At 37.3% G+C, this 16711-nt stretch overlaps 1 protein-coding gene across 2 annotated transcripts in view, besides 1 other annotated feature; it reads right to left on the reverse strand.

Moving 5' to 3' along the window:
* Nucleotides 1-16711, reverse strand: part of P3H2 (prolyl 3-hydroxylase 2) — a 165551-nt gene that overhangs the window by 104509 nt on the left and 44331 nt on the right. The window lies entirely within an intron of this gene.
* Nucleotides 3004-3298: a silencer, noted in NCBI's record as "tiled region #7173; HepG2 Repressive non-DNase unmatched - State 24:Quies". NCBI's record gives its function as "represses a minimal TATA promoter and a strong SV40 promoter by Sharpr-MPRA in HepG2 cells {active_cell/tissue: HepG2}" and the evidence as "EXISTENCE:reporter gene assay evidence [ECO:0000049][PMID:27701403]".

Here is a 16711-nt window from a genome sequence, read left to right on the forward strand (position 1 = left end):
GGACCTTAGGAGAGCATTTAAATACCGTTCTGTGTTTGGGAATTAACGCCATAGGAATCCCAATGGAGGGAAAACTGACAACCATTAAAACACACATTCCATTGAAAGGTTGATGCCAGGAGCTATGGGTGGATTTTATTTAGTGCAATATGGTTCTGTTTTTAATGCAAACCCTCATATGAAGGTGAAAGTGATAAAAATGGCTCAAGGAAGGGTCCAGAATTACAAAGACTGGCAGCTAGATGACAGGAAAGCAGGTTCAACCACAAACTTCAGAGTTAAAAACAGGTTACCCTGTTTGTGTTTATCAATACATCCTACTATACTACAAAATCTAAATAGTACTAAACCTTTTAGAGTTCATTTCTGCCATGTCCTGAAGATGATTTCTTACTCTTCATTCACCTGCCAGTTTCCTGCTAAGGACACTCATATCCCTTAGCCTTGCCTCCTTCTAACTCAGGCAAACTGGTGCCAGATACCATGTACTGTCCTAAGAAGTCTTTAAGGGTTTCTTATTGCCTTCAAAAGAAAGAGGTCATGATGAAATGGAAAGAACAGATGCTAGGATCCACACAAGCATGAATTCAAATCCTAGTGGATTACTAAATGACTTTGAGAAAGTTCCTCAGTCTGTCCAGGCTTTTGTTTCTTTTCTTGGTAGAACACAAAACACAACTACTATTTGTGGTTGTGAGAATTACATGAGAAAAGTATATAAAATGCCTGGCATATATTAGGTACTTAATACATGGTAGTTGGATTTTCTTTCTCCTCGAGGTCCTCCATGATATGCTAACTTACTTTTCCAACCTTAGCTTACTTCTACCCTTCAACAGGCAAAATCAAAGATAATCAAACTCTTTCCTCTAAAATTCTCCCCTAGCCTTCTTAATCCTTCATCACAGTCATTTTATATCAGTTGTGTTCATATGCTATCCATCCTTCAAAATTAAGCTGCAATACTATCTCTTTGCTCTCAAACCCTTCCTTATTTGCTTCAACCCTAATCTTTCCCCCTGTATCCATGGATCCTTATAATTACCTGTCTTTTGGCATCTCCTAATTCTGTGTCCTATATCATAAACTAATGTACATGACAAATCCCCTCCCATCACAATCCTTGATGCAAGCATCATTTATTTAATGCTCTAGTCTCAAAGTTCCTTGCACAGAATATCCCCATTTAACAAATTCAAATTGAATAAAGAAATAATTTTTCACTCTTAAGAACTAGCTCTAATAACTAAAACTGTGGCCCATACATTACCCACTGCTTTATCACTAAATGTAGAATATCCACACTTGTAAGTCGTGGACTTAATAGGTGTCCAGTGAATATTTACTGATTAATAATAAGCCTGGCACTATTATTATGTATAAGCATTGCGTTTTGAAATAAACCCAGACTTCCTTTGTTGGAATCCCAGCTTACCTTCTAACTAGTGACATAACCTTGGGCAAGTTACTCAATCTCTCTGTGGCTTGGTTTTATCTTCTGTAAAATGGAATTAATAATAGTATCTTGCATCAGTGAGATAACGTTATTCCCCACTGATTCAATCTTACATTTACAAACTCCATATCCTAACCACCACCAAGGACTTGAACAGGAAGCAAGACCCTGGCATAATGAACTGGTGGGAACAGAATACCAGAATGGGATAACATCAGAATTGGGAGCAAGAATGTGGAGCAGGCAGTAGTTGAGGGCCATGAGCAAATTCTATTGAATAATTTTGTTTAAGATTAGCTCTGAGCTTTCATCATTAAGACTTTTAATCAATCAGAGAAGTTATATAAAGCTATTCTTCTATTAAGCCAGTGTATTTGGGCCCAAACCACATTCCCCAACAAATGGCTCCTGAGATGTTTTAGTTTAAATTTAGGAGTTCTACTTTTTACAAATGGCTTCATAATCTATGAAAATGGTGCCATGGGGTGTACACAACTACTGGTAAATGATAAGCTGCTTCTAGTTAGTTAGTGCTGGAGTCTGCAGATAGCAAGGGCTGTGGATTATTTAATGTGATCAGTAATCTGACATGAAGAGACAGTATTTATCATTTCCATGCCTGAGCACAGCATCCTACTTGTCAGCATTCCACAGGCAAAAGCAAATGTTCTTGGGAAAAAGGCATTTTGCTAAACTTTTGCTCTGGTCAATACGTTTGGCTATTGCATTACAGACAGTACTAATGGTTCTCTTTAAATAGGACAACCACATCAGACACCGCTTGCTACCAAAGTTATTTTTAAAAATCATACCTGCAGTTGCTTTCAGACTTCCATTTTTTAAGTTTAAAAGCTTCCCTTTGCATGATTAATGTGTTACTAAATACCAGGTGTGTGCTTTGTTAGAGATTCAGATAACAGTGCTTCAATACAATTTCCACCCTTGATGTTCTGTGACATATAAATGTGTGAAAGTCTCCTCACGCCCACTGTGGTGGTGGTTGTAATTACAATGTTTATTTTTGGAGTGAGTGAAGCCTGTATGGTGACCATTAGAGACTTCCGAGCTGCCTCTGGAACATAAGCTGTTACCCCAGGATATGCAGAAAAAGATGGGGAGCAGATAGGCAGAGGCTTTAAAGAGAGCAGCCAATTTGTTACTTTCTGCGAGAAATGAATTTGAAGAGCCTCCTTGCTCTTTTCACCATGAGTTAGATTTGAGAATGTTTATACTTAACTATATATCTATTTAAGCATTTAAATTTAAATAAACATTTAAGAAATCATTTTAGAATAAACTTTTTTTTTTTTTTTTTTTTTGAGACAGGGTCTCACTGTTACCCAGGCTGGAGAATAGTAGGGCAATCATAGCTCACTGTAGTCTTGACCTCCCAGGCTCAAGTGATCCTCCTGCCTCAGCCTCCCAAGTAACTGTGACTACAGGCACACACCACCACACCTAACTTTTTTTTTTTTTTAATTTTTAGTGGAGAACAGGCCTTACTATGTTGCCCAGGGTGAACTCCTGTTGCTCAGTTCTTGAAATCCTGAGCTCAAGTGATTCTCCAACCTCGGCCTCCCAAAGTGCTGGGATTATAGACATGAGTCACTGAACCCAGCCAGAATAAATATTCTTAATAACTAAATTCTTGGCTACACTTCAGTAACTTTGTTTCTGATCCTTCCTAGGGAGTGAGTCAACAAATAGGGCTGTGCTGGAAGGGCTAGGCTGATAGCTGCTCAGTAAATCTCATCACGGTATGACTCTTCTGAATCTGAAGTCGACAGGTTTAAGCAAGGGGATATTTTGTAACTTAAAATATATTTAAATAACATCTGATGTACATTTCCAGTCTTTGTGCATTCACATATATATTTATCTATTCAGCCTATTTTTATTGAGACAATGGTATGCCAGATACTCTGGAAGTCACCAGGGACAAGTGCAGAGCAAAAATGGGTATATCTGAGGCTTCACTGAAGTAACAGTCTAAATGTACATATTTATAATAACAAAGATGTCTATATTTGAAAAATATAAAATTTGAGTCATACCGTATAGTTTTGAAAATCCCTCCTAAATTAACATGCTGTCTTAAGCATTTTCCTGGCAGCAGGAAGTAACAGGACATATCAGAGGCTATAAGATAAGCCTTCTTGTTTTGTGTCAGCCAGTCTTCTGATATACAACAAAATCAAAATGTAAAGCAGCTTCCTTAGGTGCAAACAGTAGACTGCAGGGGCTGTTCAGCTAATTCCATCTTCTAGGAAAAGCCTGTTGTTGCGTAAAGAGTTTGGGCTCTTGGTTTCTGGTAGGCTGGCTCTCCATAATTGGAGGACTCCCTGCCTAAAAACTGCTTATGCCAGAAGGCACTGATGTCCAAGGTCTCCAGGAGAGCACTGTCTCCATTAAAAAACCGAGTCTCCCCAAGGCAATGACAGCATTTCAGATTCCATCTGGTTGTTCACTAAACTTGTTTCCCTGTCATCCTGGGCAAAAAGTGAGACAATATTGTTCAGTCCTTTTGCATTAATGTGACCACAAGACTGAGTTATACATCAGAATATGGATGCAGGTGATACATGCCATTCCCAGGCTTGGCCCATAAAAACCTTCCATGGAATCCATTACCCTCCCTCCCTTTCCTTGTCTATCAACTGGTTGATGAGTGTCAATACCCAGGAGGATTTTGAAGCCATTTGTTGAAGACGTCAGAGGAAGAGTACTCCTCCCCATCACCCAACACCTCTTGAACTTTATATGAGAAATAAACTTTTATTGTTTTAAGCCACTGAGATTTAGGAGTTTCTCTTTTACAACAGTCAGTGTTATGTTAATCAGTAACGACATAGAGATTTTTTTTTCAGTACTGCTCCTATAGAATTACTTTCTAACTGAAGACTCTCTCTAGTCAAAGTCTTAGTCAATACAGGATTCAAAAAAATATTGTTTGGCCTATTCTGTCATTTCCTTAATTATATGAAATGTCCTACACGTATTTGGTCATCATATCTGCCTCTGTTACCAAGATATAAGTAAACCATTCTGGGCTACTGCAATAGCCTCCTATTTGGTCTTTCATCAGTCTCCCCTCCAATAATCTATAATTTATAAAAGTTTATGAAACACTTTTTGATGTGGACATTTAAGGCTATGAACTTTCCCCTTAGTACCGCCTTTGCTGTATCCCAGAGATTTTCATAGCTTGTGTCACTATTGTCGTTCAGGTAGAAGAATTTTTAAATTTCCATCTTGATTTCATTGTTGGCCCAATGATCATTCAGGAGTGTGCTATATAATTTCCATGTATTTGCATGGTTTTGAAGGTTCCTTTTGGAATTGATTTCCAATTTTATTCCACTGTGGTCTGAGAGAGTACTTGATATAATTTCAATGTGGAACAGATCTAAATGTCCATCAATCAACGAGTGGATAAAGAAACTGTGGTGTGTATATATATATATATACACACACACACACACACACATATATACACACATATATATATGATGGAATATGGATATATACATGTGGCATATACATACATATATATGATGGAATATATATATATGTGGTATATACATACATATATATGATGGAATACTACTCAGCCATAAAAAGGAATGAATGCATGGCATTCACACCAACCTGTATGGGATTGGTGACTATTATTCTAAGAGAAGTAACTCAGGAATGGAAAACAAAACATTGTATGTTCTCACTCATAAGTGGGAGCTGAGCTATGAGGATGCAAAGGCATAAGGATGACACAATAAACTTCAGGGACTCAGGGGGTAAGGATGGGAAGTAGGTAAGGGATAAAAGACTACAAATTGGGTTCAGTGTATACTGCTCAGGTGATGGTTGCACCAAAATCTCACAAATCACCACTAAATAACTTACTCATGTAACTGAACACCACCTGTTCCCCAAAATCCTATGGAAATAAAAAAATGGAAAAAAGAATGCAATATAAAAAAAGTTTATGAAAAAAATCTGATAGTGAAATCCCTCTACTTCAAATAATTTGGGACTTACTATCTATAGTCCAAATTTCTTACTATGTCATTCGTCAACAATCAGACTCCAAGCCAGAGCTCTAGCCCTGTCTATTCATGGCTCCCTGAAAAAGTCAGACAGCCCCTCATCTGTGCTTTTGCTCATGATGTTCCTTCTGCCTAGAGTGCCTTCTCCTTCCACCTTTCCAGACCCAGCTCAAATGCCACTTCCTGGGTAAAGCTTTCTTTGACAGTCGCTGGATGGACAATAATTCTCTCCACTACATTCACATGTAGTTTATTCTTTTTTAATTTTCTTTCTTTTTTTTTTTTTTGTAGAGATGGGGTCTTGTTTTGTTGCCCAGCCTGGTCTCAAACTCTTGGGCTCAAGTAATCCTCCTGCCTTGGCCTCCCAAAGTGCTGGGATTACAGGTGTGAGCCACCACACCCAGCCTTATTCTTACATTTACCTATTATTTGTGTATTTTTGTAGATGTCTCTACTATCAGATTCATACCTTTTGCAGACATGATTTGAGTCTAATCCATCTTTCAGACTCAAGGCATTCAAGAAATATTTACTAAATAAAAAGTGAAGGAAGAGAAAGGAGAAGGAAGAAGTGGGAGGAATATGAATTATCAAGCAGTCTTCATGTACCCAGGAACTTGAGCTCCATGTTTCTTCCACAGAAGCAAAGAGACAAATCCTTGCATGACCTCCATACCCCTTTTACTAAGTATTTCCCTCATACACCCCAAACAAAATAAAAACAAAGAATTAGTCACTCAAAATCTCCCTATGACAAATTCTCAGATAAATGCTACCATTCTATGTTATCTCAATTTCTCTAGAGTTTTGCTTTTGAATAACTAGTGATTCTGTGTCACTCTCTGGTATATTAATTTAAAACGAATCTCCTCTTCACCTCCCCTCCAGCCATAAAATTCTACATATGGTGCTGGCACATTTACCTACTAAGCATATACTTTTGATTCTTCTTCTCCTCCTCTTAAGTGTTCGTTAAAAAGTTTTAAAATTATTTATGAAGTATTTCTGGGGGGGAATATTTTCTTTATTCTTAAGTATACAAAAATTATTTATCTATATCTGGAATCCAATAAAAAGATAAAATATTGCATTTCATTATTTACATAATACATGCAAGTACAAGTTGTGTGCATCAGCATCTCAATATTTAAGTTGAAAAATGAATTTGAAAAGAAGACCTAAGAAAAAAATGTACATAGTTATAACAATTTAAATATAAAAATTAGGCTTCATCCACAAATAGCATGAGTTAGATTTTTCATATGATAACAATAAAATATACAACTTTTTAATTTAATTTTAAGTCAAATTTATGCTTAAAATGTTTATATAATTTTTCTCAAATCAAGAAAGGTTAAGATGAATGGGATAGTATAATCTCATGTCTGAATTACATTGTTTATAAAAATTTTATAAGATAAATCTTATAAATCACTTATAATTTTCTCCAAACATTTAAAGAGAATACATTGTTAGCAAACATTTGAAAGGACCTTCAAAATAAAATCAATCTGGTTGAATTTCAACAATAATTAAAATGAAAAACAATAGCTAAGTAACAAGTACTGAAAAGAAGCCTGGGAAATCTACCTTGTCCCATCCTCTGAAATATTACTAGATTCCAGATACCTTAACCTCGACAGCCACTCTATAAGTGGCCAAGCGGTCTGGTCACATGAGGGTGGACTCAGCCCCCTGGACACACACATATGTTGGTGGGAAGTTACCCCACACCCTTTGTCTCCCACAAAAGTTATTGGGTCTTAAAACTGCTAGATTTGGTAAATCAGGCTTACTCTAAATCTTTAGTGATATCAAAACTGAACAGTTACTAAGGAGCTGGCAAAAATACATAGAGTAAATCTATGTAGGAGATTTGTTTTCTTTGAAAAACTACTGCTTGCTCAGTTCATTCCTGGATGAAGGTGGACGAGTAGACAGAGCTGTTTCCTAAAAGCTGAAGTTGCGATTTCCTGAGGGAGAAGGCTTATCACTTAAAAGAGTTACCGATTTTTCTCGGTAAAATGACAGCTATTTGTTGATCTACATAATGTGTTTTCTTCTTCGGCAATAATTTTCAGCTTCTCTACATATAGATGCTTTTGCACACAAGAAATTCAAACCAATATATAATTTATAAGACTTTTACAAAAAAATTGCAAATACAAAAAAGAGAACAATCACATTTAATATCCTATTACAACCAACTAAACGTTTGCTATCGATACCATCCCATGTTTGGTAGTACACTGAAAAACCACAGAAAAAATGTTTTATATGAGTGAGGTCAGTATTTTCACAGGCGGCACCTTAGCTCATTCTAACAAAAATTCTGGTATATTAATCCAAGAGAGCCTCACCTATCTGTGCCTTTCACATGGTAAAGTTCAATAAATACTTGGGTAATTAAGGATTAAATATCTATAGGCTCAGCTCCAGACCCTAGAGTGTCTTCTGAATAAACCATACCAAGAAGAAAAAATCTATGATGACACAGTCTTGGTTTCTCTACTGGGACATTGCTAAGATGTGGGTTTCCAATAAAAGGATATTGCTACCTTCAATATGAGGCCTAGTTAACTGACCAACCCCACTGAGTAAGCATCTTTTGACATTTCACTGATTTCAGGACTAGAAAAAATGGAAAGTTCACAGTCCCTAGAAATCTTCTTCTAGTCTCAGTGTAAATCTTATATATTTGATGGGATGTTTCAAACTTCTCCCATAAATGAATCTCCTCTTCACCTCCTCTCCAGCCAAACAGAACTTCTCTGTAAGATTTACAGCATGTTTACCTTTTCTTCTTTTCCCAGTCCTCCTCATGTTTATCTCTGTGTGTTAAAATTCTACCCATATCCTTAGCAACCAAGATGCTGAAGGACACCAACTTTCAGAGGGCCAGTCAAAGAACCAACAAACAAATAGAGAGAAAATGTCCAGTTAAATAGAAGGAAATCTAGCGAGGGTGGGAAGAAATGTCTGGAGAAGAAAGGGTTTCAAGATGCAAGGTCATGAAAGTGAAATAGTGCTAACAGGCCAAGAAAGCTGATGGCCAGTAACTGACCATTGGCTCTAGCAAGGGGTAGACAACTGGAAACATTTATGAGTGACATTTCAGAGCAGTGGTGTAGATGGAAATCCAATTAGCATGGATTGTGGAGAAAATTGGGGGTAAAGCTAGCCAGCAGGTAAAGCCAGCAAGTGTAGACAAGTTTTTTTTTTTTTTCTTCTTCTTCTTTTTAAGTTGTGGTAACGGAGAAGTGAGGTGAAAGGTGGTTTACTTGTTTTAAGATGCATGCATGAAGGCTGTGCTGATGGCAATCACGTGGTGGCTATGGAGAAACTGATGACATAGGAAAACAGAAAAAAAGGATAGTTCCAAGCATGAAGTCCTTATGAAGGCTAGCGGAAATAGGTCAGATCCAGGGATTTAGTCAAAAATGTTGAACTTGCATTGTTCTTACATAGAGATTTATTATTATTGTTATCATTATTATTATTTACTATTGAGAGAGGAAGAGAAGCAGATTTTGGCTCAGTGCATTGGAGGAATTGGTGGTAAGAGGATAGGATTATCCTCATCTGATCTATCTTGTTTTCTTAGAAGTCATAGTACATAGGAAGATACAGAAGGGGTTCTAGTAAGCATCAGGTTCAACTTTCTTGCCTTGCATTTGGGGTAACCGAGTCACAGGAATATCAAGTCAGTTCCTGAAGTCATAAAAATGTGAAAGTGTCCTTCATGAGGGTATCCAGGGTCATCTAGCCATGAAGCTTCCTCTCATCTTTTCCAGCATTATAGTCATAGTGCTGTAATCAAGAGCACACGGTCCAAGGAGGGAGTGGTCACAGTTCCATCAAAGAGGCAACGACTTACAAGACAAAACATTTTGACTATCTATATGTAGCCAATTCCCCTTCTCACATTAAAGTTCTTATTACTAACAATCCATATGAACAGCCATCATTCTCAAAAAAGCTATCTTCAGTTAAACAACACATTGTCTGCCTGAAACGGGAATTTCCATGACCTCAAACTTGCCTTACATTCCAGCCCCTTGCTACAGCTTCCATTTTCACGCTTATGCATTGCTCACACTTCATTAACTCCTGTTCATTGAGAAAAAATGTTGTTCTTTTAGCTGACCCGACCAGAACATCATAATCATATTACATGTAGGCTGCACACAGTCTTTTTAAATGACTTAAAGCAGAATAAATTAAATGAAGGAAAACAATTTATTAGAACAATTTTAATGAGTAAAATAATTTTGGCTTTTTTCCGGATTATAAAACACTTTCCACTAGCTTCTAAGATATTCATCAAATGTGAAGTATCTAATTTTCTCAATAAATACTATCATGTTACAGGATGACATGTTTGCATTGAAACTGATGAACTAAGCAAATCCCTGTGACATTGACTTTAGCTATTACGGTTTGCTTCAGGCACTCAGATAGTATCCAAATATTTACTAGGTAAATGTTGAAATAAATACCCTTCAAAGGGCCTACATTAATTTTGAAATGTCTTATTACAAGCCACAATAAACAGACTTTTCAATGCCAGTCCTTAAAAAGAATCTGTCACCTAGAATAAATATTGAATTAAAACTTAAAATATGTTTAAGTTCTTTCCTGGCAAATCAGTTAAATCCACTCGTAGTTCTAGAAACATGTAAATCCAATCAGCTTCCATACTAATTCTGAATAACATTAATCACTAAGCAAATATTAGTTAATAGCCACTATAAACAGTAGCAGAAAAGTTAAAAATAAGGCAATTAATTGTATTCCAAATCATTCCAATGAAGAATGTAAAAGCACAATTGTGCTGTTTTACTCCTTTCCATTTGAGGAAAGATCATAGTCACCAACTTATTGTGCTATTCATGGGTTTTTCCTAGGCACATACATATTGAAATCAAAAAGAAAAAGCTGCAGATGTTAAAGAGTCATTTGAGAGTGATGAAAAAGAACATTTCTTTTTAGTATCTAGGATTCACGTCAAATTAGTTCTGGTAAGTCTGTTGATCTCAGCTATGATTATAGGTGATCAATAATTGAAAGGACAATGAGGAACTGGGAACAGTACCTGCATACCTATCTATAAACAAATCTAACATAGCAATAAGAAAAATACTTCAATAAAATGGACAAAAGACATAAACAATGAGCAAGAAACATTTAAAATTTTTTATACTGATAATAAAAAATGCATATTAAAACAAGATGAAGGGTTTTTTTTTTTTTTTTTTTTGAGGCAGAGTTTCGCTCTTGTTGCCCCGGCTGGAGTGCAGTGGCGCCATCTCGGCTCACCGCAACCTCCACCTCCCAGGTTCTCCTTTCTCAGCTTTCTGCATAGCTGGGATTACAGGCATGATTACAGTGATTCTCCTGTCTCAGCTTTCTGCGTAACTGGGATTACAGGCATGTGCCACCACGCTTGGCTAATTTTTTGAATTTTTAGTAGAGACGGGGTTTGACCATGTTGGCCAGGCTGGTCTTGAACTCCTGACCTTAGGTGATCTGCCCACCTCGGCCTCCCAAAGTACTGGAATTACAGGCATGAGCCACCATGCCCGGTCAAGATGAAGTTTTAATCCATTAAACTTTAAGTCTCTTTTATTTAAAGTATAATTTAGAGCATTGGCAGTGGCTCTAGGAATCAGACAATCTCGTCCACTGATGTTGAATTAGAGTATTAAGTGGTACCAACTTTCTAAAGGATGATTTAGCAATATATATCAAATATATTAAAGTGTGTTTGCTATTTAATCCAGCAATTCTACTTCTAAGGATGTACTTAAAAATTTTAAAAAACTAATATTCAGATACAACAGTGACCATCAAGCAATATTTATTAGTGCAAAACTGCACACAAATAACTAAAAATCAGTATTTATTAAATAGATGCCAATATGCTCATATAACAGTTATACTACAGCTATTCAAAAATTTTGTAAGTATCATTTTATTTTTTAATTAATAAAAGTTACTAAACAACATGCACAATATAATTCAAACAACTGTTTAAATTTATATGTACATGTGGCATATGTGCATTTCAAATGTTATACTGGAAAATGTTATCCATGATTAGTTCTGGATGATGATGTTGAATACTGATTTCTGAGATTTGTTATCTATACTTTGCTTCTCTATATTTTGCAAATTATCTACCATGAACATAAATTATTCCAGAGAAAGTAAATATCATTCTTAAATCACTATTGTAACAGTCTGGTATCAGAGTATCATATCTCCTGTACCATTTTAACTGCATTCATATCACTTTAAAAATCACAAAGTCACGTGGTATAAAAGAGGTAATAGAAACAGTAGTTTGTGATCAATGTGGTGAAAATATTTATTATCAGAATTTGGCACTAAAGAACAGATACACCTAATTTGGAATTTTAGTCTTCATTAAATGGATGCTCACCTTGTGATTTCTAATCAATGTGCTTTTCTGTGTGTCTGTTATACTTCAATTAAAAAGATTACAAGTAACTCCAGCCTGTTATTTCCTAGATTCACAGCAAAGCTGGCAGGAAACCCAAGAGGTCATTTCCAACCTCTCATCCCATTTCTTCAGTTCCACAGATAAGAAGTGCTGTGATCCTTGAGTATCATTCCATTGCCACGCAGCCCTGATAAAAGCCCTCTTCCTCAAAATGAGCCATAAACAATCTGCTTGTTTTCAGCTTCCGGGCGATTCTGAGCTAATCAGTTACAGGCATGCTTGAGCATAGATGGTAAGAGGGTCATTAACCACCAAGGCCTAGAGTACATCCTGTCATTTGGCCTGGGAACTGTGGCTGCCACAGCAGCTCTGGTGGGCATGATTGAAGGTCGCTGACAGCAGTGTGCCCAGAAACTGCAGTGTGGTCAAGGATCATAGGCTGAGTGTAAATAGTAGGGCCAGAATTTCTAAGGCTCAGTTACGGCAAACTGAGTTTCATTTCAAAGCCAGTGGTATATATACATCCAATAAATGTATGCTTTTAAAAGAAGAGATGCTTGCAATAATGGAAATGATTCAACTGCAATCAAGGACTTTTGCTCTTTTTGTGCCAAGGCCATACCTCAAATGAGCTACAAATAAGGCTGTTTGGAGAATTATGTCTGCAGCTGTGTGAACTTTGCCTGAATTTTTAAAGTGATAAACAAAACTTAACAAATAACGCTTTAGGGGACAGTTCACTTTTTTGAGGAAGGATCAGCTATTGAAGCACATCATGCAGAATATCATTTGTCATTAGATTAAGAAATACTCTCGTATCAGTAAAAGACAGGACACTTAAACTGTAAGTTAGGACACTTGGATTTTACCTTTGAGCCTTCATGTACAAGCTATATGACTCTAAATTATTTGATCTTGTGGTGTTTCAGTTTCTGGATTAGTAAAGTGTGATTGGATAACTTAATCTTGAGATCCCATTTATTCCAAAAATTGTGAATTTAAATCTAGAATACTATGATTCTTGGCCAGGTGCGGTGGCTCATGCCTGTAATCCCAGCACTTCGGGAGGTCGAGGTGAATGGATCACTTGAGGTCAGGAGTTCGAGACCTGCCTGGCCAACATGACGAAACCTGGTCTCTATTAAAAATACAAAAAATTAGCCGGGTACAGTGGCATGCACCTGTAATCCAAGCTACTCCAGAAGCTGAGGCAGGAGAATCACTTGAACCCAGGAGGCGGAGGTTGTAGTGAGCCAAGATCGCACCACTGTACCCCAGCCTGAGTGACAGAGCGAGACTCTGTCTCAAAATAAATAAAATAAAGTAAAATACTATGATTCTAAAGGTACAATTTCACACCAAAAGCATCACTGTAAAAAAAAAGATATCACCTAATTTATCATAACACAATGTAATTCCTAGATTTATTACAGACCCAGTTCCATCTCATTATAACCAGAGGGGAAAAACTAAAAAGAGATGGAGGGTGCATGTACAACTGAATGTAAATTGAACATCTTCTTAACCAATCTGTCTTTTGATTTTCAACAATTTGCTTTATGTCTTTTCTCTCACTTCCTTATGCATCCTCTAAGTTCTCTTTAATAGATTATAAAAATAAAATTAAGAAAGACCTGAAAGCACGAGAGAAGAAAATATACACAGATAATCAATCAAATACATGGTCAATGTGTACAGTTCAGTCTACGATCACTTCTTTTTGAAACTTCTTCTCTTAGTCAGAGGGGATTTGCTCTCTAACTTTGCACTGTGCTACTCTCAATTCTCCCTGAAGAACATCTGACCAACAGCACCTCCCTCAGCTATCATTCATCCACTCCACTCACACCTTTTAGCATATAATGAGAGTGATGCTATGGCCAATACAGAGGCAAAACTGACAGAGATCCTGTTCTCAAGGAGTTCATAGTCTAGTAGTGAAGAAAAGGCTAGGATATGAAACTAATAACTGTCATGCAAAGTAGAAAAGAATAAGTGCAGCTGGGCACAGTGGCTCATGCCAGGAATCCCAGCACTTTGGGAGGCCAAGGCGGGTGGATCACCTGAGATCAGGAGTTCGAGACCAGCCTGCCCAACATGGTGAAACCTTGTCTCTACTAAAAATACAAAAAAATTAGTTGAGTGTGGTGGGCACATGTAATCCCAGCTACTCGGGAGGCTGAGGTAGGAGAACCACTTGAACCTGGGAGGTGGAGGTTACAGTGAGTCAAGATTGCACCATTGCACTCCAGCCTGGGCAACAAGAGGGAAACTCCGTCTCAAAAAAAAAAAAGAAAAAAAGAAAGAAAAGAAAAGCAAAAAGAAAAAGTGCACCAAGACAGATACACATAAAATCTCATGTGATTTCTGAGAAGGGAAATCTTCCTGGTAAACTACAGGAATTAGGGAAAGCTTCCCAAAATATATGGCACTGGAGAAGTGCCTTGAAAACAAAGGTGGGATTTGGACATGTGGAGATTAAGAGGGAGAAACATCAAGAAAGAGAGAAGTGGAAGAGACATTTGGTATGTACTTAGGGTACCTGAAAAGGATTAATAGGAGATCAGGTTGAAAGATAGGTCGGGTCAGATCTTGAAAGCCTTGATTTTCAGATGAAGACAGTCACATCTGTGTCTACAGAGGACTCACTACAGGTTGTATTTTAGAGGAATAATGTGATTGAATTTTTACATTAGAAATGTATTAACTTCCCACAACTAACACTTTTTTCTGCAGATGTATCAACTACCTTTCAGAAAACTCCTCCAGGAAATTTGAGCATGGCTTTGTCTTGTACTCCTCATGGTAACACAAATGGTCACTCTTAGACCTGAATTGGGCAGATTTCATTTCGTCTATTTAGTTCATATATTGGACAAATTTGGGCTTGTTTCTCCTGGGCTGAACCTTCAATGTCAGCAGTGGTGATTTCCAGCCATATTAAGATATGAAAAAAAAAAACCACCAAACACACATGCACACACACACACACATACACACACACAGAAACAATTAAACACAAGTGTCCTTAATTTTGAGATATTTATGTGCTTTGGCAGGAGCACACTCTGGATTTTCAGGGCCAAGTGCTCCCTGCTTCCTGGAAACTTGACAAAAAAGAGAATGTGTTTGACCAAAAACTATCAAAAGCCAGAACATTCCCTGAAGTTCTTTGCTGGCTCTAGGAAATGGAACACTGGGCAATTCTTCAGTACAGTGCCAGGCTACCTTAATCATGGAAAGATGGGAAAGATGAGGCAGCTATTACTACAGCTGCAGCAAAGTGAGAATGCCTGCTCACTCATTCACATATCCACCTCCCTAGGTCTATCTTGTGATCCCAGCATCCATGTGCTTTAGAATTAATATAAGCAGATCTGGGTTATTGACATTTGCCTGTGGTCCCAGAACCAAATAAAGCTGAATATTTTATAAGGTATTATAACCCACAATTCTAGCCTCACTCATCTGAGAAAAGGGAGACTCCTAGAGAAAGATGACATGTCCAAGCCCACATGGCTGCTTGGTGGAAACAGGGATTAGTAATGAGTTCTTCCAAGTCCAGGTAAGGACACACCACAGCCTTCTCTTATAAACACTGCAAAAAGTCTAGACTCTAACTCAGTAATGATGATTCATTTTATCAATAATTTTGACTACCTCAAAGTAACTCTGATGACAAGCAAGTTAAAACTCCTCCAGCTTAGTCTTTTGGAGGAAAGGGTTTTTCATTCTAAATGCTGGTTTACACACAGTACCATCTGCCTCAGGGTGTTACTAAAAACTTTTAAGCATCACCTATCTACTGCTGAGCCTTTCATTAGGCATTTGTAACTGAAAAGAAAAAAAATTTAAGGGAAAAACCAAAAAGAGGTAGAAAAACTTTCCTGACTGTTTTTAGCTTCAGTTGATTCTGACTTAATCCTACTGGCATGCATGATTCAATAGTTTATGTCAAACACAAATTCCAGCCCAGTGCCCTCCATCCGACATGTTCTCATTCCTGAGCCTGACAGCAGACCTGGTCTCCTAGCAACACTGAACATTTTCTCTGCCTAGTCATCTGTAGCAATTGGTTCTTTTTCATGGCTGTGCTCTTGTCTTCAGTCCAGACAAACCAAAAACCTTCCCTGTAATCAAAGGGGTCTGATGTCTAAAGTCAGACCTGGAAAATCAGTTGAAATTGAACTTATTTTCTTCCTTCCTAGGTCTCCACCTCCCTTTCTCTCCTTCTTTCTCTTTTTTACACACAAACATTTGTATGCACATGGACACACACACAAACCAGCAAAAGAATGGCCTGAAATCTGTCCTGGAGATGGGAATACTATCTAGTACAACAAGCATAGAATTGTTCTTGTCTATTGAAGAAATCAGACAAGTCCCAGTGCCTCTTTGGTTACCTCATCATGTAGAAGGGAGATGATAAATACTCAATTCAAAGTGTCATTGTGAGACTCAAAAGATACAATGAAGGATGAAAGGTTTTGTAACAATAATGGCTATACAGATTAATACAGTTATTACATTATAAGCAGAGGAAATGTTTTTAGACATGTATTTAGGAAGAGATGCAACTACGCAAGCCTGTGAAAAAGTCACTACTCACTTAAGAACAAAGCTCTTATCAAGATATGAATGGAATTTATTCTCTTTAATCATCCAAATTTCAACTTGTACCAGAGCCTTCCTGGGACCCATAGAGAGTAATGATTGCAACTGATGAGGCATATAAGACCAGGG

The sequence above is a fragment of the Homo sapiens genome, chromosome 3 (assembly GCF_000001405.40).
Source record: "Homo sapiens chromosome 3, GRCh38.p14 Primary Assembly".
NCBI classification, from domain to species: domain Eukaryota; kingdom Metazoa; phylum Chordata; class Mammalia; order Primates; family Hominidae; genus Homo; species Homo sapiens.